Source organism: Homo sapiens, chromosome 9 (assembly GCF_000001405.40).
Source record: "Homo sapiens chromosome 9, GRCh38.p14 Primary Assembly".
Classification (NCBI taxonomy): domain Eukaryota; kingdom Metazoa; phylum Chordata; class Mammalia; order Primates; family Hominidae; genus Homo; species Homo sapiens.
The window spans coordinates 135,064,445-135,088,181 of record NC_000009.12 but is presented as its reverse complement, the minus strand read 5'-3'; the positions used below and the strand labels follow the sequence as shown (position 1 = coordinate 135,088,181).

Below are 23,737 nucleotides of genomic sequence, written 5' to 3'. Positions count from 1 at the left end.
AGGAGGAGGAGCCGCGCCAAGGCGGCCGGCGGGCGCACTTACGCCGGTGCTGCGGTCCAGCGTCCCGCCGCCGGCCGCCGAGAGCTTGGTGGTGTTGAGGCCCACCAGCGAGGGCAGCGTCTGGGACATCCAGTTAGTGATCATGGCCATGGTGCTCAGCACGACCCCGATCTTGAGCAGCGGCACCGACATCGCGCCTCGAGCTGCCTCCAGCGCCCGCTCCGAGCTGGCACCGGCTCCCGCGCCCAGGCGGCCTTCAGGCGGCGGGCACCGCGGCGGGCAGGGGCGCCTGGCTGTGTCCCCGCGCCCCCTCGGCCCGCCGCCGCCCGCCCGCCGCCGCCGCCGCCCCGCGCGCCCCGGCCATCGCCGCGCCTTCCCCGGGCGCCAGGGAAGGTGGCCAGGTGGCCTCTGCCCGCCGCGCCCTGCGCCTCGCGCCGCCCGCCCTGCGCCCTGCCTTGCCCGGCTGCGTCCCTCCGGGCTCCTCCGCCGCCACCGGGAAGCGCCGTCCGGCTCTGAGCGCTGCGCGGGCTGCGCGCGGGGGCCGCGGCCGGGAGGCGGGGCTCGGCCGGGCGGGACCGACGCAATCCGCCCAGGAAATGGGTGGATTTTTCCTCTCGCTCGGCTCCCCGCCGCCCCCTGGCTGCTGGCAGCGAGGTCTGCAAACTCCAGTCCGCCCAGGAGTTGGGATCAGGGTGACATGAGGAGACGGACACACCACCACCCCCAGATCATAAAATACCCGGCGGCGGCGCGGGGACTCCAGCTGGGGGCACGGCCCGCGGCCCTCCCGTCCCGGGGCTTCTCCCATCCTCACGCCGGGGCATCCCTCTCCGATCCCCGCAGAGGGTCCGCTTTGGGGCAAAGGTTGCCGGCAGAGAGACGGCGCCGTCCTGCCTACTGGAGCCCTTTTCCGCGGTGATTCGAGGGTCCCAGCCAGCCTGGGCCGTCGCCTGAAACCCAGCAGGCAGGGCAGGCTCCGAAAAGCAGCCAGACTCGCGAGGGCCTCCAGCGCCAGGGGGGCGTCGGGGCATCGGTGGAGAGCTAAAGGCGCCCCTGCGATCCCAGGGCAGCCGCGGTGCCCTAAGGCCTTGCTTGGGAGGAAGGGAGCCAACCGGCACTCCTGACACCTGCACAGCAAGGCGGGGGCTGGGGTGGTCTGCCGTGGCCCGCGGTGCGCAGTGAGGGCCCTGGGAGGGCGCACACCCGGCAGGAGCTGCATAAGGTCTGGGGCTCAGGCCTGGACCTCAGGAGCTGAAGGGACCACGCCCATGAACCTGGTGTTGGGGAGGTGGGTGTGTGGGGCGGGGACTGGGGTCTGTGGTGGAGGGGTGTGGGTTGGGGGGTGTCCTTACTGACTCAGGGGTGGCGCTCGAGTCATGGCGCCCAGGCACAGAGGCAGGGCAAGTGGCGCACGCTGCCCCTCTTCCCGGCCCTCTGCGGCGACCGCAGCAGGACTCACGCGTGTCAGTCCCACCTGAAGCGCAGGCCTGACTGGGTCAAACACGTTAATAGGGCTTTTGCATTTACAGAAGGCTTCTAATCGGAGATGAAAGCCACTTCCTCCGGGGCCTTCCATTAAGCTTTCCCAGCCATTTGGGAAGGAAAGAATCCTCCAGATCACTCACTACACTCTTCTCTGCCTGGGCGAAAATTAATCTCCCTTCCTGGATGGGATTTGAAAGACGGACGCCGGGCCGGAAGGAGCGCGCCTCCCTGGCGCCCGCCTGAGAGGAACAACGCCTTCCTGGGGCTTTTCTCTCTGTGTGCGCAGTCCTCGGCTGAAGAGACTTCAGCTGCAGCCAAGATGATCCTGGCCTGAGTGCTGGGTGTGAGACCCGCTAGTTAAATGAGCCCCTCAGATCTGCTTTTCTGATTAATGCTGTAATCTCAGGCAGCCGGGCTGGGTCGGATGCCAGGAAATTCCAACTGTTGGGGAAGGGCGCCATCTCCCAGTGTAAGCTGGGACTGCAGGCCCGGCTCACAGACTGGGCCCAGGCGGAGACACAAGTCCGGTTGGGCTGGCTTCGCCCCCCTCCTCTGGCCATGCATGTTTAACACCGATTCAAGGCCACAAGCCGTGTCTGTCCAGATCACTCACGCCGCTTCCCGCTGCGGAAGGACAAGGACCACTTGTTCTGCGGGAACAAATTCAAATGCAACCCAATCCAATCCACAAAACTGTCAGGCCATCTCAGAAGCCATAGACATTTATTTATTTAACGAAGTAAAAGATTAACCTGCACTTGGACTGCTCTAACCTGCACCTGAGCGGCTCCAACCTGCACCTGAGCGGCTCCAACCTGCACCTGCTCCAAACTGTCCTGTCCAGTTTCTAAAATCTGTGATTCAGTGGGCATAATGGTTTTGAAAGGGTCGTCAGATAAGGCTTGAGTAAGTGTAATTGGATTTAGAAGGCCATGGAGCATTCCAGAAGGAAAGTATGGATCGTTGAAGAATGAAGGCATTTGGATTAGGGGATCCATGGCGCCAGGCAATACCAAGTGTTCCTAAAGAGGACTTTCAATCCCAATTTCTTCACGACTTCTCTTAAAGCCAGGGCTCATCACACCTGCAGCTCTGAACAATCATACGGATGCTGATGGGGCAGGTGCTGCGCCCCTGGTGGCACTGGGGCTTTGCCATGCCTGGCACCCAATCCTTACTGAAGTGCATGGTGTGGTGGCATTGACTCCACTGTATAGATGAGGAATCTCAGGCCTAGAAAGATGATAAGACCTGTCCAAGGTCATATGGTGACAGCCTATTTCCAGGGCTAAGCCCATACACATGGTGGCATCCTCGTCTTATAAATGTCATGGCCATAGTTAAATCTCACGAGCCCCAGAAGTGGCATGAGTTGCATGGCCACAGCAGCCCTGGCTGTCCGCACAGTTCCACGAGCCACAGAGGCCGCCAGAAGACATTTCATGGGCCCTTGCCTTCCACGCTCGTGGGAAGGACAGGAGGTTGCCCACCCCTTTCTGAGTCCTGGCACGAGCCTGCACCACCCTCCCTGTCATGACAGGTTAGAACAGCCACGTCTCTATCCTCATGCCAGCCCCCTACAGGCCTTGACCTTGGTGGACTCTGTACAAATTCATCAACACACATAAAAACAAGCACACCCCCTCTGCATCTCCCGGCTTCAGAGCTCAGAAGACGCAAGTGTGAGAGGGTGCTCCTGCCCAGCTTGCTATAGACCTTACAAGAGGCGGACACACGTGGGCTATTGGGGAATCACCTCGAGAAGCCCTAGGACAGCCACATGGTGAGCTGATAGGGCACAGACGACACCAACACCCACAGTCAGACGACCACTGACACCCACAGTCAGAACAGTGAGGTCCGCAGGATGCAAACCTACTCAGGTCCCAGAGCCAGGAGTGGCTGCTTGGAGGGAAGCAGGTCTCTGGGCCACTTCCCGATGCTCCTTGGCAAAGGATGCCCTCAAGGGACAAAGTTTGGATGCCCGGTTGCTGTTTAAAAATACGCATACTCTCCTCAGGCTATTGGCAAATATCTTGAAGGGAAACAAGGGGAGGGGAGGAAGAAAGGGAGGGAGAAGGGGAGAAGAAGAGAGAGAGAGAGAGACAAAGGCAGAGAGACAGAAAGACAAAGAAACAGAGAGGAGACAGAGAGGAAGACAAAGAAATGGAGAGAGAGACAGAGAGAGAGGAGAGAGAAGAGAGGAGAAACAGAGAGAGGAGAGACAGAGAGAAGAGAGACAGAGAGGAGAGATAATAGAGACAGAGAGGAGAGACAGAAGAGAGACAGAGAGGAGAGATAATAGAGACAGAGAGGAGAGAGAGAAGAGACGGAGAGAGGAGAGACAGAGAGAGAGATGAGAGACAGAGAGAGAAGAGAGAGAGAGAAGAAAGATAGAGTGACACAGAGAGAGAAGAGACACAGAGAGAGGTCCCACATGGAGCCACCTCTCCTTTTTCTACGTTGTATGTAGCTTTTTCATTCCCTTTCTGTGCTGGAACATTCCAGGAGCAAGGAAAGGACCTGGCCTCAAGCCAGGCAGAATGGGAGGAGCCACAGGTCCCCTGGGCACTCCCTCTCGGCAGCCACAGAAGACCAGCATGGGTCTTCTGAGCCAAGTGTTCCCTGTACTCCCCTCCTCTGAGGCCTCTGGGTTCACACATGGGTGGAGGCGTAACTGCTCCTCACCCCCTTCCCTGGAGAGGATTTCCATCCTGGCCCGGCTCCCTGTGCCTGGCAGCACCTCCCATAAGCTGACAGTCTCCCAAACACCACCTGCATCAGGCGTGGCTGTGTGACCTGCGATTTTGGCCCCGGGAGGGAGAACGGCTAAGGGCCACGACTGAGCAGCTTTCAGAGCCAAATGTCTCAGTCACACCCTGTCTCTCTGCCTCTGTCATGAGGAAAACAGATCCAGAGAGGGCCCCTCCCTTGCCCAGGGCCCTCGAATGACAGGACATGTGAGCCAGAGGTGCCCCCAGGCAGCCTGTGCCCTATGCACACCGTTGCCATCATGAGCCACTGTGCTTGGGGTTTGTGAGCACGGCTGGCCTGAGCTGCCGACCCAGGAGATTCAACTTCCTCCGAGGTATCGTCCTTCCCCCTTTCCCTCAGTGTCAGCTCTTCAAGTCCCCCAGTGACAGTGATGGGGAGCTACTTGCCCTGGGGAGAGCATCCCACAGACCCATGGCTGTTGCTGGGGGACGTTTCCTCCATTCAGCAGTTGGCCTCGTGTCCAGCTCTTCAGTCCTAGTTCCTTGTCCATCCAGAGAGCTGACTTGTCCACGGCCCCCATCCCCCCAGACCCTTCATGCACCCTCCGCACTCTCCCTGGCAGGTTCCACGCCTCTTTCATGGATATCGTCTCAGCCTGGCCACAGCCAGGCCAAGGGAAGCCACAGCTCTGTATTCCCTTAGTTGCCGAATGGAAAAGAGGCCAATTCTGGGAGTGGTACTTTGAAGAACAGGGACAAGACAATTCAGCAGACACGTCACCCTCTGGGCTGAATGCACGTTTTTCAGGGACCCCACAAACATAATCATTTCCTACTTCCCAGGTGAGGAAACTCACCGTAACTAATTGGGAAAGGCAGCCCGGTTTCTGTGGAATCAGTCATTGATCCTGACATGAATTCAAAGGTGACATCATGATGAGAAACATCAAAGAGTCAATCCCAGGGTCCAGCTGGGAATGTGGAAAATGCCCCAGGTGGCACCATTTGCTTACAGCCAAGGATTTGGTGCTGCCAGATTCCAAACAAAGTTCTTTGCATCCAGACGACACCCGGCCTCTGCACAGGAGGCTCCCGGGCATTACTGATGGGGCCTGCCCTGTGGAGCCTGGACTTGGCCTCGGAAACGTTCTTAGCCACCTCTCACCAAGACTGCTGCAGCCCCTGGGAGAATCTCCTGTTTCATCATCCTTTGTATTGCTGATGGAACAAAGCACCCCTGGGTCCGTCAACACCCCTCACCTGCTGCCACTCAGAGCTGACTCAGTCTGTGCATCTGTGGGACAAGATGCTGAGGCTGAGTGGCCTGGGAACGGAAACCTGTGTGTGCATATTTGGGGCTGGGAAGGAGGCTGGGCAGGGGTTCAAGGACTCAAGTTGACAGCCAAATTGTTGGTAAATGGCTGGCTCCCCATTTCTGAGTCCCACTGCACTGTCAAAAACCACATCCTTCAGTGCATGGAGTAAAGTTATTTACGATACACTCATGTTCTTTCTTTGACTCTTAGGCCCCCGAAGCATCACCAGAAGCAAGTGGGGGAGACTTTCTTTTCAGCACCACTCAGGAGAGCCATTTTGTATGGTAGGGAAATCCCCGCGGCAGGGTTTAAACTCCCCGAAGACAACTTGTATACCTAAAACCACTAGCTGGAATGGAACCACTTTAGGGACGGCCCAAAGCGATGCTGTGAACTGCTGATCTGAATGTGGACAAGGGCTGGGGAGCCGACCTCATTCCCATCTCCCCCTTACACTCTTTCATCTCAACTTTTCATGGCTACACACTCTCCAATCAGATTTTAACTGTCATTGAACCATGCATAAGGAATATACGGGCAAGATCCCTGCTGCTGGGATGTCCTTTTGGGGCGAGCAGGTCTGCTAACACTGCAGCTGCCATCACCAGCTGGAGCCCAGGCAGGGGCGTGAGCTTTGACACGAGCACAGAAGAAGCAGGGACAGGAAACCTTCTCCAGGTGAGCAGCCACACACGAGGACGGGTCAGTTCGAACGCAGCGGATTCTCTCCATGGCAGCCCCTCCAGCCACCTTGTGCAAAGCATGCCAGGTGCAACAAAGGGGGTCACCGGACCCGCAGGCGTGTCGGGTGCACGTGTCGGGCAGTTTAGAGCCTCACTGAGAGGCCACCTTAGCTCAGGACCTGTAGATCCTATTTCTTACTTCTTGGCCTCGAACTCCTGACCTCAAGTGATCCACCTGCCTCGGCCTCTCAAAGTGCTGGGATCACAGGCATGAGCCAGTGCGCCTGGCCCCTAATTCTGACTTCTTGGATCTCAAGTTGTCATGCACATGCTGAGACATTTAACGGGCACAGGGCTGCCTACGTAACCCCTAACCTTACACTCCAGAGAACTGAGGCAGCTGGGCAGGCACTCCTAGATGCATCCCCGTTTCCAAGGGGTGGACGGGCCTGCTGGGGTCTTTGATCCTCAGGGGTTGCAAGGAAACCACAAGTGGACCCCCTCCTTCTTGCCCTGCTTTCTCCTTCAAAAGCCCGTTTTCAAGGTCAGCAGCCGGCCGTGCACGTGTCCACACAGTCGGAAAGGCACAGCTGATGGGCTCTGTGGTGCATTCCACAGAGGTCGGCGACCCGGCAGCAGCACCAGCACCTCCTTTGCACTGGTGTTCGGTGACACTGCGCTGTTTTTCGACTTTGCATTTTCTTTCTGTCTTAACAAGCACCAGAACTTAGGTTTCTCAGATGTCAGACAGACCTAGAGCACCATCTGGGGTCATCACATATGTGCTGGGTGGATGGGCAGGCTGCTTAACCTCCCCACGCCTGTGTGTCCTCAGGTCAAGAATGGGGACAACTGCCCAGGATTGCTGGGACCGCCGCAACATGATAAAGTTTACACTCGTGACATGCGGTATCAGTCCTCGCCACTGGCGGGATTCCTGGGGCTTTAACTCCGGGCGGGCTCCAGTTTCTTACATTATTTATCTTATATAGTATATTATTTACTATCATTATTATTTATAATATTTAGATTATTATTTTAATAATCTAAAAAAACTCAGAGGTGTGCATTTTTACTTCCTGTTCTCTCTTCCCCTCCCTTCGGTCGCCCTGCGGTGCCAGTCGGGACAGCGCTGAGGTTTCCGAGCGTGCAGGGTGTCCAGGACGAATCTTTCAGAGCTGGAAATTGGCTGCTCGCCCTGTCAGCCTAGCTCGTGGTTGCCATGTATCTAATTCAGTTTAGCTAGTAATTAGTTTTGTATTACTTTACACGGTGATGTTAATACTGATTACAGGGCCTGATAACTTTAGTAATAAATACAACCCAAGGCAGGAAATTACCTTTCTTCTGATTGGGGAAGGTTGAAGTCAGTGGAATGAGAAGCAAATTGCTTTAGGAGACGGAGCAGCTGTCTCATGGGCAGGATTGACAGCTCAGCGCCCCTGGTGTCAGGAGCCTCTCCACCAGGGGAGGCAGCCCGGGAATGGGAAAGGGGAGGGTGCCCCTCTCCCTCCGTGTGTCCAGAGGCATTGCCAGCCTGAGAGGCCACAGCCAACTTTGGTGCAAAGACTGAATGAATTCCACGTATTCTGAAATAATGGGTTTAGGAAAAGACCCCAATTTCACCTGAACTCTTCCCCCTACCCGTGCACTCCATCCCCTTCTACAAACACTGTATCCTCCCAGCAAGTCCAAAACAGAGGGGGCAGAGAAGCTGGAGGGGAAGAGGGCCTGGCAGGGGGACAAGACAGCTCATCCAGACCACCTGGCCCAAGCTTAGGTTGCAGCAGGTAAAAGTGTTTAGCCGTTTCTACTTGTTGGATTTGCTCAGGGCAGTGAAGTGAGGTCTTCAGCTCTAGAATGAGCTAAATGGGGGGATGAGGAACAGATTCAGAGGGATGGGCCTCACTGGGGTTCTCTGAAAGCCTAAGTCAGCATCACCTCCCTGGTCTTCTCGTCTGCCCTGTTCACACCAACCCACAACTCCCCAAGTGCAGTCCCGGGTCTGCCCACTTCTCAATGCAGGCACCTAGACTGGCAAACAGCTGGCCCAACTCCGAGACCCAGCAAACAGTAGTCACTCAATAAAACCTGAAGGCAAACAGTCACAGTGACGGTTGCCACTCAAGCCTGTTCTGTGTTCACTGACAGCTTGAACCCCACCAGGGGCATCCAGGGGTGTCATGTTTTAGGAAAGGCCAGGCCCGGCCTGGGGATGCGTGGCTAATGAGGAGAGCTCCGCTTCCATCTTCAAACACTTCAAATACCCTCAACCCACGTGGATTGAGCATTGGATGTGAGAGTCAGGGTTTCCAGGCCCTTCTTCCTGCTGCAGCCTCTGTCTGCAGCCATTTCTGTCCTCTTCTTCTTCTTTTTTTTGAGACAGAATCTCGCTCTGTCGCCCAGGCTGGAGTGCAGTGGTGCAGTCTCGGCTCACTGCAACCTCTGCCTCCTGGGTTCAAGTGATTCTCCTCCCTCAGTCTCCTGAGTAGCTGGGATTATAGGCGTCTGCCACCACGCCCTGCTCATTTTTTGTATTTTTAGTAGAAATGGGGTTTCTTCATGTTGGCCGGGCTGGTTTTGAACTCCTGACCTCAAGTGATCAAAGTGCTGGCCTTAAAGGTATGAGCCACCGTACCCAGCCTCTGTCCTCTTCTTCTTTCCCCCGGGCTCACTAGTGGACCCAGGTGCAAGCCTGGACCCAGATCAAATATCCTCCTTCTCCAGAGCTGCCTCCAGCTTCCAAAACAGAACTCACTCCCCAACTCCTACCCAGAGCACTCGGTGCAGACACTTCTTTTGCCACTGAAACACATGATTATGGCAGAGCCTGGGGTCTTCCCTCAAAGCAAGCCGGCCCCAGGTGCCAAGCGGCAAGGGTTTGGACTCACTTAACATTGTAAGCCCAGAATTGACCGAGTTAAATCTAACCAGCTGGTACCCAGGAAATGCTTGTCTAAGGAGAGGATGAGTGAGCCAAGGAAAGAATGGGGTTGGGGGTCTGTAGCAGGAAGGGATTTTACTCAAGAATCATCTTGTTTAATCCTCCTTGTGAAACAAGGAAGGTCAGGCTCAGAGGGGTTAAAGGGCCTTTCTCAAGGTCACACAGCCAGTGTCTGGTGGGATCGGGGTGAGAATGAGGCCATCTGGGTTCAAGGTTGTTGCTACAAAGCTTCCCAGCCCCTTTTACCCTATCACGTACAAAAAACATTCTTCACTCTGAAGGGAAGCCTGGGGGGTGTGGCGGTGGGCCTGGAGCCCAGGGAGTCCCTGCCCTGCCCCACCTTCCCCAAGGCCCAGAGATCAATGCCTCTGGACCCTGCCCCGGAAGCTCAGTACCATGCCACTTTACCCTGCTTCTCTAAGAGCATGAAATACCAGTCTTTTGTTGAAAATCACAGAGCAAGACCATGTGAAATGTCTTTCTGTCTGAGGACAAAGTTCACCTGGCCCCACAGCCTTGCGTGTCGTAGGCCATCCATCAACGGTTGGTGTTTGATTGAGTGTCTCATCGTAAGTAAGCTGTCGGGAGAACAGATGGCCCCGCCATGTGCTCCACTCCCCCTGCCTGTCCGCCTGAATCCTCCAGGCAGCATTTCTTAAGTGCAGGTAGGATCCAGGCGTTTCTGACATCTTCTTATGTCGACGTATGCTCATTTAGAAACACAGTGGCCCTAGAATCGCATGTCCATCCCTTGGAAGGAGCTAAAAGCAAGGATGTGGCTGTTGGAGCAATTTACCTACAGTGGAAGCGGGAGGCAGACACCAGGCAGCTCCAGCACCCTATCCTGAAGCCCAGACATGCTTCTTCACTCACTCACAAATATGAGCAGCATTGCTCAGGGAACCCGCAACGCATAACTTTGGAATCAAGAAAGTAAGATGCTTGGGGATGGATGTCCCCCAGTAGCTCTTGGAATCAGAGCAGGCTGGTCCTGCCCCCACACCCATTCCCGACCCCAGATGCCATCTTAGAGGTCAAAGATGAAAGTCACCTGGCATAACCCCAGTGGGGCCCACCCAGGTGGGGACTAGGGTAGCCAGGCTCTCGGGTGCTGGTGCTGAGCCAGCCACTCTCTGCCCCCTTCAGAGACTCAGAAACGTTGACGTGATTTCACCTGCTGAGGCTTTTTTCCAAAATCCCAACACATTAGGATAACTGGCCTCCAATGCAAGATTCCGAAAGCACAATTATCAGAAGCCAGCCTGGGGAAGGTGGAGCTGTACCATGAGGGTGGGAGGTGCCTCCTGGCTGAGTCAAGGGACACATTCCCCTGAGACAGCCTGTGGTTCAGCTTCAGAGAGAGGAACATGCCAGGCCAGCAAAGAAAACAGCAGCATTTCCCTTCCTGACCCGCGGAGGCTGTGGGCTGGCGGAGCTGACCAGGGTCCTGAAGGTGGCTGGCTGGGCCCTGACTCTAAGGTGTGAGGATGCAGGGGTGTGACCAGGGGCTGGCTGGGGTTCGGATGTCCAGCACCCTTCGTGTGGATGGACAAATACTTTCACCACTGAGACAAGGCTTCTAATTGAAGTTGAACCAAAAGTTTCTCCCCAGAACAGGGAATCTTTAAAAAGACACAAAGAGGAGAACTTAGGGAGGAAAAGCATCTTTTGGCCTGGGCATGGAGGCTTCAGGGTGCCATTAAGGCTTGGAGGGCCCTTGGGTGCGGCCATGTCCAGGACCACCCAGAATCAGCCATCTCTTTGCCAAGGTGTCTCAATAAGACACAGGCATAGCCCTTTGTGGGGCAGCTTGCCACTAATCAGGACCTGGTTGGCTCTTCTCTGCAGGTATCTGCTCCCCTGTGTGTGCATGTGTGTGTGTGTGTGTGCACATGAATGAATGCATCTGTCCAGCAACAGTGCACAACCACCACCCTCCACCAGGCCTTCCTGGGGCCAAGAAAACCTCTCCTAGAGGCCATGCAGAACCTCTCCAGGAGGGACTGGCTGATCGTCTGGGCAGCACCAGGAGAAGGGCTCTGAGGGTAAGCGGGACGACATAACCCCACTGCTGGATTGGGATTTGGACTGCACATCCTGGGCAGAGCCAGGGAGCCAGCGTGGGCTTCCAGGCAAAACAAGGGAAGCTCGTTCAGTGTCTTCTCTCCTGTGGTCTTCCTCTCGCTCTCTGGCCCTCCCATCTTCTCTGCTTTGTTTTCTCTTTTATTCTGAGGGAGATGGAGGAAGGGAGGAAGGAAAGAAGGGTCAGGGGCAGCTGGGGCTTGGGGCCAAGGTACTGGCTGCCCATCACTTCCTGGACTTGCAACTCCAAAGGGCCAGAGTCTCCCAGTTCAGAGCGTGGCACAGTGGCATCATTGAAAGGGCATTTTAATGTCACTCCCAAGCAGCCCGGCTCCCTCGGCTGGCAGGCTCTTCCGAGCACCATAGTGCCAAAGCAACCCTCCCAGTTCGGCGCTCACAGACAGCCCTTCTCCTCCCCCAAGACCTGCCAGCTCCAATATGCATCTTTAAAATGGAGAATACCAAGCAGAGACCTTTCTCTATTGATACATTGTTCAGGGTACGACAAGCCCGTTTGAAATGCCCACGATCCCCACACCAGCACGCCACAGGGCTCCTCACTCACCTCCTGCCGGGCATGTGGCCACAGCCCCCCAAGCCCTGCATATTAAGCCAGCAATGCACACAGCTGGCCGGCACGCTGGCTGCCCTTCCAGGTCTCAGCGGCACAATCCCCACCGCCTGTTTCTGGAGCCCCCAAGGGCAGCGTTATGCCCAAAGGGAGGATGAGCCACTCAGGGGTGTGTGTTGGGGGTAGGACTAAGGTCCCGCCACCTCTGAAAATGCCTGGGGTCTTGGCTATCCGGCTCTCACTCTTCCCCCTCCAGATGACAATAGCAGCCAAAGACCCCCTCGTGCTGCCCTTTGAACTTCTCAGCAGGGAGTCGGGGGCAGCGGAGTCCTAGGAAAAAGGGGGCAGCTGTCAGCTCTGCTGAGCCGGGGCTGGAGGAGCGCCGTCTCCGGTCAGCCTGCACCCCTCCCTCCCACCCAGGTCCAGCCTAGCGCCCTGGCCCCCTCCCCAACCCCGGCACTTCGGGCGCCCAGGCCGGGGGCGCGGGGCGGCGCGGAGCCAGAGCCGTTCCCGGACTTTGTGGGGCTCCCGAGGGGCCGGGCCGGGCGCCTGGCAGGGAGGAAAATGGCGTTGGATGCACGTACTTGAGTGAGTTCAGTGCCCATCAGGATGAGGAAGAGGAGGCTGAGGAGCTTCCGGGCCGGGTGCATGTCTCGCTGCCACCTCCAACGACCTGGCATGCAGGGCCCTGGGTGCTGGCCGGCCGGCGGCTGCGTGGACGCGGACGCGCTCCGGCTCTGGCCCCGGCTCCGCTGGCTCCGGCGGCGGCGCCTGGCTCGTGTCCCCACGCCTGGATTCAGCACCCGGAGCGGGCGGCGCGCGGGCTCTGCTGCGCGAAGCCTCCGCTCTGCATATTTATCGCGTCCCGGTTCCGGCGCGTCTGCCTCCGGGCAGGGCTGGGCAGGGCTGGGCTGGGCGGGAGCTGCGCCCTCCTCTCTCCTCGCCTCCTAATGGCTCCCCCGCGCGCCTGGCATTGGCGGAGAGAGGCGCGCCCTGCGGAGCACGAACGCGCGCTGGGCTGCGGTGGGTGCCAAAAGTTTGCTCGGAAGGGGCGGGGGCGGGGGTGGCGCAGAGGGACCCGCGCGCCTCGCTCTCTCCCGGGGAGGAGGGCGGCGGCCGGCGGGGAAGCAGGCTGGGACAGGATGTGACATCAAAAAGGCGGGGGAAATTGAACTGGGATAGAGAACTCCATCCTGGCCGGCCTGAGCCCTCGCGGGCTCCAGGTCCCGGGAATGGGGACAGAGGGGTTGCCCGCGCTGGGGACCTGGGCCCCTGGACAGGGAGTGGGCCGAAGATTGGGGGGGGGGAATGACAGCTGGGAGTGGGAGGGATGGGATGTTAAGTCTTGATGTCTATGGAGTGACAGGAGATAAAAGCTGAATGGGTCCTTAAAATTCACCCTTCAATGAGGTAAACTGAGGCTGGGTCAGGAAGGATGTTTCCAGGAGGAGGGGTCAGGGAGGAAGCCAGGGTTAGAACCCTGGTCACCTGGCACGCAGCCCTGATGAGTGGGGAGGTCAGCAAAGGGGTGGAAGCAGGAACAAGCATTGGGTGCTGGGCTCCTGTCCCCAGACAGGGCATGTGGACGAGAGTCTGTCTGTGTGCTCCTGGGGGTGGATACGACGTGCCTGTAAGGGGCCCTGTCATCGTGTGTTAGGTTGTGACACAGCTCTGCCCTCCCCAGGTGCCTTTTCTGAACCAGGAACCTAAGAGAGGAGCTCTCCCACCAGGGCCGGGGACTTCCAGAACCCCCTTGGCTCTGCCCGTCCTGGTGCCCTCCTTCCCTGGCCCTGGTGGGAGAGCTCCTCTTAGGTTCCTGGTTCAGAAAAGGCACCTGGGGAGGGCAGAGCTGTGTCACAACCTAACACACGATGACAGGGCCTCTTATAGGCACGTGCCAGGACCACAGGGCCCCTTACAGGCAGGTGCGTATCCACCCCCAGGACTCCCTTGGCTCCGCCCTTCCTGGTGCCCTCCTCCCCTTTCCTCCCTCTCTATGTCCCCTCTCCCTCCACCCTCCTTTAATGTGTACTCAGACCCGTTGACTAAAGGAGCTGTCTTGGGGCCCACGTTTTCCATTTAAATTCCTGATTTTGTGGAAGAGTCCCAAGCACCTGTATTTTCTGAGAAGCTAAGGTTGCAGTAGGTATCTAGAAGCCTCTCTCTGTTCTCTATTGTTTAGTCTTTAGTCTATGGAAAATAAACTCCCTAAAGAGAATCTCTGACAAGAAGAGACTCCAGACTCAATAATTGCAGAGAGCAGCACTGCCCAGGATGATGTGGCCCGGCCCCCTGTGTCACAGATGAGGCCGCTGGAGTTCAGGGGAGTCACGTACCGGGGTCACCCAGGGATATCCAGAACAAGGACAATGCCACCTCCTGCCCCTGTCACCATGCTGCTGGCATCTGGGAGGCATCCCCTGGGCATTGGGTGCAGGAGCTGGGCACATGTGCTGAAGAAGAGAAGATGGGAAGGGGCCCTCCGACACGGCCGTTGCACCCTGAGGGCCTTTGCTGTGGGGACTCTGTTCTCTGAGTGCTGGGGACAGAGCTCCCTCCAGGGAAGCCAGAGGGCCCGCCTGTTGGTCTGGGTGGGCTTCCCAGCCTCAGACGAGTTTAAGCAGTGGCATTCCTGGTGATATGCCACGGCCCCTGAGGCAGGGTGGCCCCCAAGACTCTGTGAGGAGATGGTGCTGGGAAGAAATTGGGGGGGGGGTGCAGCTGTGGAGGCTTCTTTTCTCTCTGCCCCCCTCATGTTACTACCCCCAGTGTCTTTGTTGTCCTAGAATGGAGGAAAGCTGTTTGTAAGCCCCTTGGGGATCGTTGAGAGAGGCAGCCAGGGGCCGGAGTGGACCCTGTGTTTGGAGCTGAAGGGATCTCCGGGTAGTGGCTGTCTGAGCCTCAGTCCCCACATCTGTCGAATGGGAATGAATGGTCCATATACTGCAGGTCTCGGGGCTACTGAGGAGATCCAGTGCAGGAATAAACACACTCTATATGCTTAAGAACTCTACGTGCATGGGGCACGCGCAGCACCCCAGGCCTCGACCCAAGTTTCTCCTTCAGCCTTCACATTGATGCTCCAAGTGGCCGCTAATAAATGTCTGGGCTCTGGGAGACCTGTGACATGGCCATAGAGCTGGAGTGCGACCCCCGTCTTTGGGGTTTTGTTCCTGTGGGCTGGGGAGGAAGGCTGCATTGATTTCCTTGAGTGGACTGAGGCCTCAGATCCAATTTTAGCAAGGATGGTTTTTATTTTTAAAGTTACACACCAGGTGACCCAGCAATTCCACTTCTGAGTACACACCCAAGGGAAGAGAAAGCAGGGACTGGAGCGGATATGTACACGCCTACGTTCATGGCAGCATTATTCATAACAGCCAAAAAGTGGGAACAGACAGGGCGTGGTGTCTCACGCTTGTAATCCCAGCACTTTGGGAGGCCGAGGCGGGTGGATCACCTGAGGTCAGTACTTTGAGACCAGCCAGGCCAACATGGTGAAACCCAGTATCTACTAAAAATACGAAAATTAGCCAGGTGTGGTGATGGGCACCTGTAGTCCCGCCTAGTCAGGAGGCTGAGGCAGGAGAATCGCTTGAACCAGGGAGGCGGAGGTTGCAGTGAGCCGAGATCACGCCATTGCACTCCAGCCTGGGGGACAGAACGAGACACCATCTTAATAAAACAAATAAGCAAACAAACAAAAAAGTGGGAACAACCCCTGTGTCCATCAACAGATGCATCAACAGACAGATGTGCTCCATCCAATGAACTGTTACCAGCGATGAAGAGAAGGGAAATTCCAACACATGCTACAACACAGATGAAGCTTGAAGACATTATCCTCAGCAAAATAAGCCGGTCACTGACGGACAAGTACTGCAGGATTCTGCTTTTATGGGGTCCCTAGAGTAGTCACATTCACAGAGCTGGGAAGTAGATTAGTGGTTACCAGGGGCTAAGGGGAAGGAGGTTGGGACATGATTGGTGAGTGGGTACAAGTTTAAGCCTGGAATAATGACAAAGTTTTGGAAGTCGACAGTGGTGACGGTGGCACAATATGGTGAATGTCATCAGTGCCACAAACTTGTGCACTTCATGGGTAAAATGGTAAATTTTATGTTATGCATATGTAACCACAGTTTTAAAAATATAGTAATATAATATACCAAAACCATTGAATTGTACACCTTAAGTGAGTGAATTGTATGGTATGTAAAACATATATATATATATATTTTTTTTTTTTTTTTTTTTTTTGAGACGGAGTCTCGCTCTGTCGCCCAGGCTGGAGTGCAGTGGATCGATCTCAGCTCACTGCAAGCTCCGCCTCCCAGGTTCATGCCATTCTCCAGCCTCAGCCCCCCGAGTAGTTGGGACTACAGGCGCCCGCCACCACGCCCAGCTAATTTTTTGTATTTTTAGTAGAGACGGGGTTTCGCCATGTTAGCCAGGATGGTCTCGATCTCCTGACCTCGTGATCCGCCCGCCTCGGCCTCCCAAAGTGCTGGGATTACAGGCATGAGCCACCACCTGTAAACTATATCTTAATAAAGCTGTTTTTTTTTTAAAAAAAAATACAGACTTATTATTGTATTTCTTTAAAAAGATAAAATACAAAGAAGAATGTAAAAGTAACGAAAGCCCCCTACCCAGAATAGCCAGTGTTGACCATGGGGCTGCTCTGCAGGCATTCCTCTGTGCACGTGATCAGGAAATGCAAAATGTGCAAACGTAAGAGGGTGGCCTCTAAGACCAAATGGCCTGGGTGCCAAGCCAGAGCCCCCCTCTTGGGAGCTGTTGAGGCCCTGGGCCAGTCACCCTCTCCGGGCCCCATTTATCTCCCTGGGGGTGGATTGATGATGGCAGCCCCACCTCAGTGCCCAGCTGAGTGGCGTCAGGGAGCCACAGCCGTGCCAAATATTTAGAACTGTGCCTGGCACGTGGCAATGGCTAGAAAGAAATAGGAAGGATGGGCAAATGCTGGTGTAAAAGATGACATCATCCTTCCCAGGCTTTGCAGCCCAGAAATATTAGATTGAACTGCAACGTAAAGAAGGAAGGGGAACAAAGTCAAGCCGAAGATGCTGCTGACTTCAAGCGCGTTTATCTTCACCATGCGAGGCATTGTTTCCTAGAAGAACCTTCTAAGATTGAGAAGGAAAAGTCTATGAAGACCGTTAACTGTTTGGAATTAGACATTCTCTATCCCGTGGTCCCGTTTTTGACAATAACGCCCACTTCCTCTTTTGAAAGCCTGGGTAATATTCAGCTCCTCTTTCTCTGGCCACCCTGTCCCTCCTCTCAATCTGTACTGCTTGTATTATTTGTATCTTGTCCGTACTTTTAATATTTATATTTGCTTCTGCAACCCAAGCTCCTAGCTCTTTGGCTCTAGTTCTGGATTTTGGGGAATCTGGCATCCACTCGGGCCCCTCGAGGAGGTTGCTCCGAGTTCTTCATTGTGTCCACCCCTTTGGGGTTGGCTGAGGTTCAGGTAGAGGGAGGCCACAGCCCGTGACACCAACACACCTCACTGCTGACAGATTTAGATGCTTGTCTTTTCCTCATCCCATGGCGTTCCTGTCTGCAAAATCAGGAAGCTCCCTAGAGCAGAGGCTCCATGTAGAGGTGGGTGTGGGGCCTGGGTCCCAAAGCTCCAGTCGGTCTGGGGCAGCTGCCCACCTCCTCCACCCCAGCTCTGAGATCCTGAGCTACCTTGGGATGAGGCCAAGTGGGTACCCAGCATCAGCCCGCCTCACTCTTTGGTGGGTACCGTGGGTCCTGGGACACCCCCACCCGCCCCTCTTCTGCTGCCTTCCTGATGGAGCTTGGGCAGCAGGCACCCAGGAAGCAGCCGCTTTCCCGCTGAGCTGCCTCAGGACACCAGCAAATCGATCTGCTTTGTGCTCCTCTAAGACAAGCCTCCTTCTACTGCTGAGCCCCATTAGAATGTGACAGAGCGTTGCCAAGGCAACGGCACTAACTCTCCCCTCCTCTCTGCGAATTTCCTAGCAAATGGGACCCAAAATCCACGCGATCGGCTCCCTGTGCCCTGAGCCTTCAGGCTGCCGGCTTCACCCTCTCCAAATCCAGCTGAGCCGAGCGAGCACCCAGATGGCCTCCCTGGCCCCTGGGGACACCGGCCTGGGGCGGTGGTGAATAGGCTCACAGAGGACCCAGGCTGCCCCTCCTTATCAGCTCCCTGGACTTGTGCACGGCAACCAGCTGCTTCTGTTTGGAAGCCGTCAAGCAAGGAAAGGGTGGCCAGCTCTGCTTCTGGGACCACCTGGGTGGTTTGGAGTTCTCAGCCCCACTGTGTGTTGGGCACGCGCTGAGCTTATGCCATTCTCTCACTAAATCCTTGCAGCCTAGGAGCACATTTGATGTTCACGGGAGTCAGTCGTGCACTTGCCGGTGTTCAGCCGGGGCAGGCAGCACCAAACCCTGCTCCGTGGTCTCCCCCTCGTCACTTCCCTGCTTGTCCAGCTGTGATTCCTCCAGAAGTCTCTCCTGTGCTCTCAGTTCCCTGGCGTTGCCCATCCTCCTGTCTTCCTGGCGACACCCAACTCTCTGTCCACCCCTCCCTGCTCCCTGACAGCTGAGCAGGGCCAGGGAAATCACACCGCCTTGTGGACTGGTCCCTGTTTGAATTCATGACCTCCCAGCCCAAGGGAGTCCTGAAATCCTGTCTCTGCCTCCCCCTGCCCACAGCCCCAACTCCCTTGGAGGGGCTCTAACTCTTTCTCCCCTGCTCCTCGGCCCTCCTCCTCCCACCTCTCCCCTGCCCCTCCGTCCTCCTCCTCACACCTCTCCCCTGCCCCTTGGCCCTCCTCCTCACACCTCTCCCCTGCCCCTTGGCCCTCCTCCTCACACCTCTCCCCTGCCCCTTGGCCCTCCTCCTCACACCTCTCCCCTGCCCCTTGGCCCTCCTCCTCACACCTCTCCCCCGGCAGATGACATGATTCTCACTGCACCGAGGAAGGCCCAGCCCAACTCTCAGCTCCCATCACAAGATCCACCACCCAGACTCCTGCCTGGCCCTGCCTTGCTCCTTGCAGGAGGTGAATCATCTCTGCCCCCATGCAGGACCACCATTCCGTGGGCCCGGGAGCTTGCCCCCTCCCTGCTCTGTCTCCCCACACCTGTCCTCTCGTCGAAAACATGTTGCCGTTTTTGCCCATCTTCACCAAAGAAATGTCTTTCCTTTCATCCCCTGCAGCCACGCCCCACCTCTCTGTCCTCCTTTGCAGAGATGAATGTCCACATCCCATCTCTCCAGGCTGCTCCTCCACACAGCTCTGGGCAAGCTCACCAGCGACTTCCTCGTCATCAAACGCAACGGTGGCAATGCCAGCCTTCATCTGACTGGAGGGAACCAGCGACACCCGGCACAGACTCTCCTCCCTCTACCCTGGAAGCCTCGCTTCCTCTGGATGGTGCATGCCCCTGCCTTGCGTGCCCTCGTCCCTCCCTGGCTGCTCCTCCCCAGGCTCTGTGCTGTGCTGGGCCTCACCGCCTTCCCACTTTCTTTTCTTTCTTTTTTTTTTTTTTAGATGGAGTCTCAATCTGTCTGCAGGCTGGAATGCAGTGGCGAGATCTTGGCTCACTGCAACCTCCGCCTCCCGGGTTCAAATGATTCTCCTGCCTCAGCCTCCCAAGTAGCTGGGACTACAGGTGCATGCACCACACCCAGCTAATTTTTGTATTTTTAGTAGAGACGGGGTTTCACCATGTTGGCCAGGCTTGCACCTTCCCACCTTCTAATGGTTGGGTGTTTCAAGGCTCTGTCCTCCATGGCCCCCCGCCAGGTGCCTCCTCCAGCGCAGGACAGGAACTCCCATTGCTGTGCTCCCCTCACTTACATCTCAGCATAGCCTCTTCTCTGAATTCCCAGCTCATACTGCACCACCTGACAGTGTCCCTTGGTATCTAACGTGCTTGTGCACCTGGCGAGTCTGCAGCACGGCTCTTTGTAGCCTACCCCAGACCCAGCCAGCTCCTGCCCCACCTTCCCAGTCCAGGGAACAGCAGTTCCGCCCTTCCTGTTGCCCAGGCCCAAATTCCAGGAGCTATGCCGGGCAACCCGCTTCCTTTTAAATCTCACATCCAACTCACCCGCAAGTCTTTCGGGCCAACCTGAATTATCCAGCACCGCCCCACACAGTCATCAACCACTCAACTGCATCCTCCAGTCTCCCTGCCGCCTCCCTAACCCTGCGGCCAGGGTGGATTTACAGAATCTTCCCTGAGGTCCTGACCCGGCAGAGGCTTCCCACAGGGCTGAGAGCCCTCCGTCCTCTGTCATGAGGTCCCCACCACCTCTCATATCCCACCCCCTTTCTCTCCCCTCGCTCAGTCCTGTTCGGCTGCACTGCCCTGCCCTGAGGCTGCTTGGGGACATCCCTGCTTTCCTGCCAGGAGCCTGTTGTCCCTGACGCCATGTGAATCCCACCCCGGCTTCATTCAGGCCCTGGACTCTGCTTTGTTTTCTTAGCTTTTCTGACTGTGTGATGGAGTAAGGCTCTCTCTCCCTCACTAGAGCTCCCTGAAGGCAAACAGAGCCCTAGTGAGGGAGAGAGAGCGTTATTACATCAGACAGGGCTGATGGTGAGAAGATACCCCAACCTGAGAAGCTTAAGGCAACGGAGATTCATTCTCTCCAAGTTCTGGAGGGGAGAAGTCCAAGACGAAGGTGTTGGCAGGGCTGTCCTCCCTCCAGAGGCTCTAGGGGAGGATCCTTCCTGCCTCCTGCAGCTTCTGGAGGCCCTGGGTGTTCCTAGGCCTGTGGCTGCTCCAGTCTTCCAGGCCAGCACCTTCAAGCTGTCTCTGCTGCATCTCCATGTCCCCTGCTCCTCCGCATGTGTCTCCCCCAACCCTGCATGTGTCTCTCCCCTCTGCCTGTGTCCCCACCGCTCCCTGCCGCGTGTGTCTTCCCCACTGCATGTGTCTCCCCGCCGTGCATGTGTCTCCCCCCAGCATGAGTCTCCCCCGGCATGTGTCTCCCCTCCTGCATGTGTTCCCCCCCATTGCACGTGTCTCTCCCCCACATGTGTCTCCCGCAATGTGTGTTTTCCTCCCCGCATGTGTCTCCCCTCCCCACATGTGTCTTCCCCCCCGCATGTGTCTCCCCGCTGCATGTGTCTCCCCCCGACATGTGTCTCCCCCAACCCTGCATGTGTCTCTCCCCTCTGCCTGTGTCCCTACCGCTCCCTGCCGCGTGTGTCTTCCCCGCTGCATGTGTCTCCCCCCCGTGCATGTGTCTCCCCCCAGCATGAGTCTCCCCCGGCATGTGTCTCCCCTCCTGCATGTGTCCCCCCCAACTGCATGTGTCTCCCTCTCACATGTGTCTCCCCCCATATGTGTTTTCCTCCCCGCATGTGTCCCCCCTCCCCACGTGTCTTCCCCCCCACATATGTCTCCCCCAACATGTGTCTCCCCCAGACATGTGTCTTCCCCTCCACATGTGTCTCCCCCACTGCATGTGTCTCCCCTCTTGCATGTGCCTCCTCTCCTGCATGTGTCCCCCCAAATGCATGTGTCTCCCCCACACATGTGCCTCCTCTCCTGCATGTGTCCCCCACTCTGCATGTGTCTCCCCTCCCCACATGTGTCTCCCCCCTGGCATGTGTCTCCCCCCCACATGTGTCTCCTTTCCTGCATGTGTCCCTCCAACTGCATGTATCTCCCTGCTGCATGTGTCTCCCCCCCAACCACGTGTCTCCCCCCCACATGTGTCTCCCCCAACATGTGTCTCCCCCAGACATGTGTCTTCCCCCCCACATGTGTCTCCCCCAACATGTGTCTCCCCCAGACGTGTGTCTTCCCCCCCACATGTGTCTCCCCCACTGCATGTGTCTCCCCCCGTGCGTGTGCCTCCTCTCCTGCACGTGTCCCCCCAACTGCATGCGTCTCCCCCACACATGTGTCTCCTTTCCTGCATGTGTCCCCCCAACTGCATGTATCTCCCCTGTGCATGTGTCTCCTCCCAACCACATGTGTCTTCCCCTGCCTCTTATAAGGATGCTTGAATTTAGTACCCACAGGGAGAGGACAGGAGGATCGGAAGACTCTGGATGTGGCCATATCTGCAGCTCACTTCTTCTGAATAAAGACCCATCAAGGTTCATGTCCAGCTCCAGGGATGAGAACATGGAGATCTTGGAGGGCTGTTACTCAGCCAATTGCAGGGACAGTGAGAAAACAAACAAGCAAGCAGATAGAAGAATTTGGTAAACGTCAGCCACAGCTGAGTGGTGTGAGCCTAATGAATAGGATGCTGGGCCCAGAGTCACTCGGGGAACATTTTGGGGAAGATGGCCCATGACTTGGGGAAGAGCACCCCATGCAGAGGCCTGAGGGTGAGAGTAGGTGGCTTTGGGGAAAGGTTGGGGGTTGGTGTCAGCAAGACTGGTGCAGGGGGAGGGCATGGGGAGCAGGCAGGGCCTTGCCAGCCCTGAACAGACCGTTAGCTCTCAGTATCATGAAACGGCAGTCACTGGGGTTTTGAGTGAGGGAGTGATGGTGTCTGATTTGTGCTTTGAAAACCCTGCCTCTTTGTGGAGAATGGATGAGGAGGATCCACAGGGAGCTACAGGGAAGGGGGGCTCACTCCAGGGGCCACTGGAAGGGGTCACATGAGTAACGACACAGCTTATGTGTTTGGTTTGGGGGCTCTGGGTGAGTAAGGGGCTTTCGTTGCACAAAGACAGAGAGAGGCAGGGTAAGGAAGGGAGGTCAGGAACGCTGTGGGGCATTGCAGGTGTCAGAGCCTGGGAGGAGATCCCAAGTGGAGATGCCAAAAAGGAGGCTGGACACGGCAGTCTGCTGTCCAGGGCCCAAGCGTAGGGGGAGACTGACCAGTGGGGACAGACAGCACCCATGAGGCTGGAGGGGTTCCCCAAGGGGAAGCAGGATGGGAGGATGGGAGCCGAAGGGCAGAGAGAGGTCCTCCACAGAGCCCAGGTCCAGGGATGTGGGGCTGGTCAGGGGCCAAGGAAGCAGCTCTAGAAACTATCACTAAGGATGCCACGTGGACAGCCTTGGTGGGCTGCCCTGGGCTGGCATGGTGCCCAGCAGGCTAAGAGCAGGGCTCAGGCCCCAGGTCATTGCCCCAGCATGGTTCTTGTTATTCAGAACCAGTGTGAATCCCAGAGGGAGGCCCTGTCTGCCCAACCCTGAGCCAGAACATGCCGTCCACTTGCCATTGTTGGACTGAATCCCAACTCAGTGCCTCCTGATTCTTGCCTGAGAGCCCAGCCCAGATCCTCAAGTGAAGGGCTTGGTGGGTGATATGGTTTGGCCATGTCCTCACTCAAATCTTATCCTGAATTTCCACATGTTGTGGGAGGGAACCAGTGGGAGGTAACTGAATCATGGGGGCAGGTCTTTCTCATACTGTTCTCATTATAGTGAATAAGTCTCACGAGATCTGACGGTTTTATAAGGGGGAGTTTCCCAGCATAAGCTCTCTCTTTGCCTGCTGCCATCCATGTAAGACATGACTTGCTAGTCCTTGCCTTCTGCCATGATTATGAAGCATCCCCAGCCATATGGAACTGTAAGTCCATTAAAACTTTTTCCTGTATAAATTACCCAGTCTCGAGTATGTCTTTATTAGCAGCATAAAAACAGACTAATACAGTACGTTGGTACCAGTAGAGTGGGGCACCACTGTAATGATAGCTGAAAATGTGGAATTAACTTTGGAACTGGGTAATAGACAGAAGTTGGAACAGTTTGGAGGGCTCAGAAGAAGACAGGAAAATGTGGGAAAGTTTGGAACTCCCTAGAGATTTGTTGAATGGCTTTGACAAAAATGCTTATAATGATATGGACAATGAAATCCAGGCTGAGGTAGTCTCAGATAGAGATGAGAAACTTGTGGGGAACTGGAGCAAAGGTGACTCTTGTTATGCTTTAGCAAAGACACTGGCAGAATT

The 23,737-nt window shown here is 56.3% G+C and overlaps 1 protein-coding gene across 4 annotated transcripts in view, besides 3 other annotated features; it reads right to left on the bottom strand.

The window, feature by feature from the left end:
• OLFM1 (olfactomedin 1) overlaps nucleotides 1-12,677 on the bottom strand; it is a 45,680-nt gene extending 33,003 nt beyond the window's left edge. For 2 of the 4 annotated variants that reach the window (NM_014279.7, NM_006334.6), the window contains exon 1: nucleotides 12,380-12,677. In NM_014279.7, coding sequence (NP_055094.2) covers nucleotides 12,380-12,445 — 66 coding nt within the window. In that variant the 5' untranslated portion in view covers nucleotides 12,446-12,677. Of the gene's footprint in view, nucleotides 1-42; nucleotides 515-739; nucleotides 923-12,379 lie in introns of those variants that run through there. The other 2 variants (NM_001282612.1, NM_001282611.2) reach the window with 2 other exon arrangements.
• Nucleotides 493-1,353: an enhancer, noted in NCBI's record as "H3K27ac-H3K4me1 hESC enhancer chr9:137978675-137979535 (GRCh37/hg19 assembly coordinates)". NCBI's record gives its function as "activates a minimal SCP1, AML or CMV promoter by ChIP-STARR-seq in primed H9 embryonic stem cells {active_cell/tissue: H9 hESC(primed)}" and the evidence as "EXISTENCE:reporter gene assay evidence [ECO:0000049][PMID:30033119]".
• Nucleotides 1,354-2,214: an enhancer, noted in NCBI's record as "H3K27ac-H3K4me1 hESC enhancer chr9:137977814-137978674 (GRCh37/hg19 assembly coordinates)". NCBI's record gives its function as "activates a minimal SCP1, AML or CMV promoter by ChIP-STARR-seq in naive H9 embryonic stem cells {active_cell/tissue: H9 hESC(naive)}" and the evidence as "EXISTENCE:reporter gene assay evidence [ECO:0000049][PMID:30033119]".
• Nucleotides 17,390-18,287: an enhancer, noted in NCBI's record as "H3K4me1 hESC enhancer chr9:137961741-137962638 (GRCh37/hg19 assembly coordinates)". NCBI's record gives its function as "activates a minimal SCP1, AML or CMV promoter by ChIP-STARR-seq in primed H9 embryonic stem cells {active_cell/tissue: H9 hESC(primed)}" and the evidence as "EXISTENCE:reporter gene assay evidence [ECO:0000049][PMID:30033119]".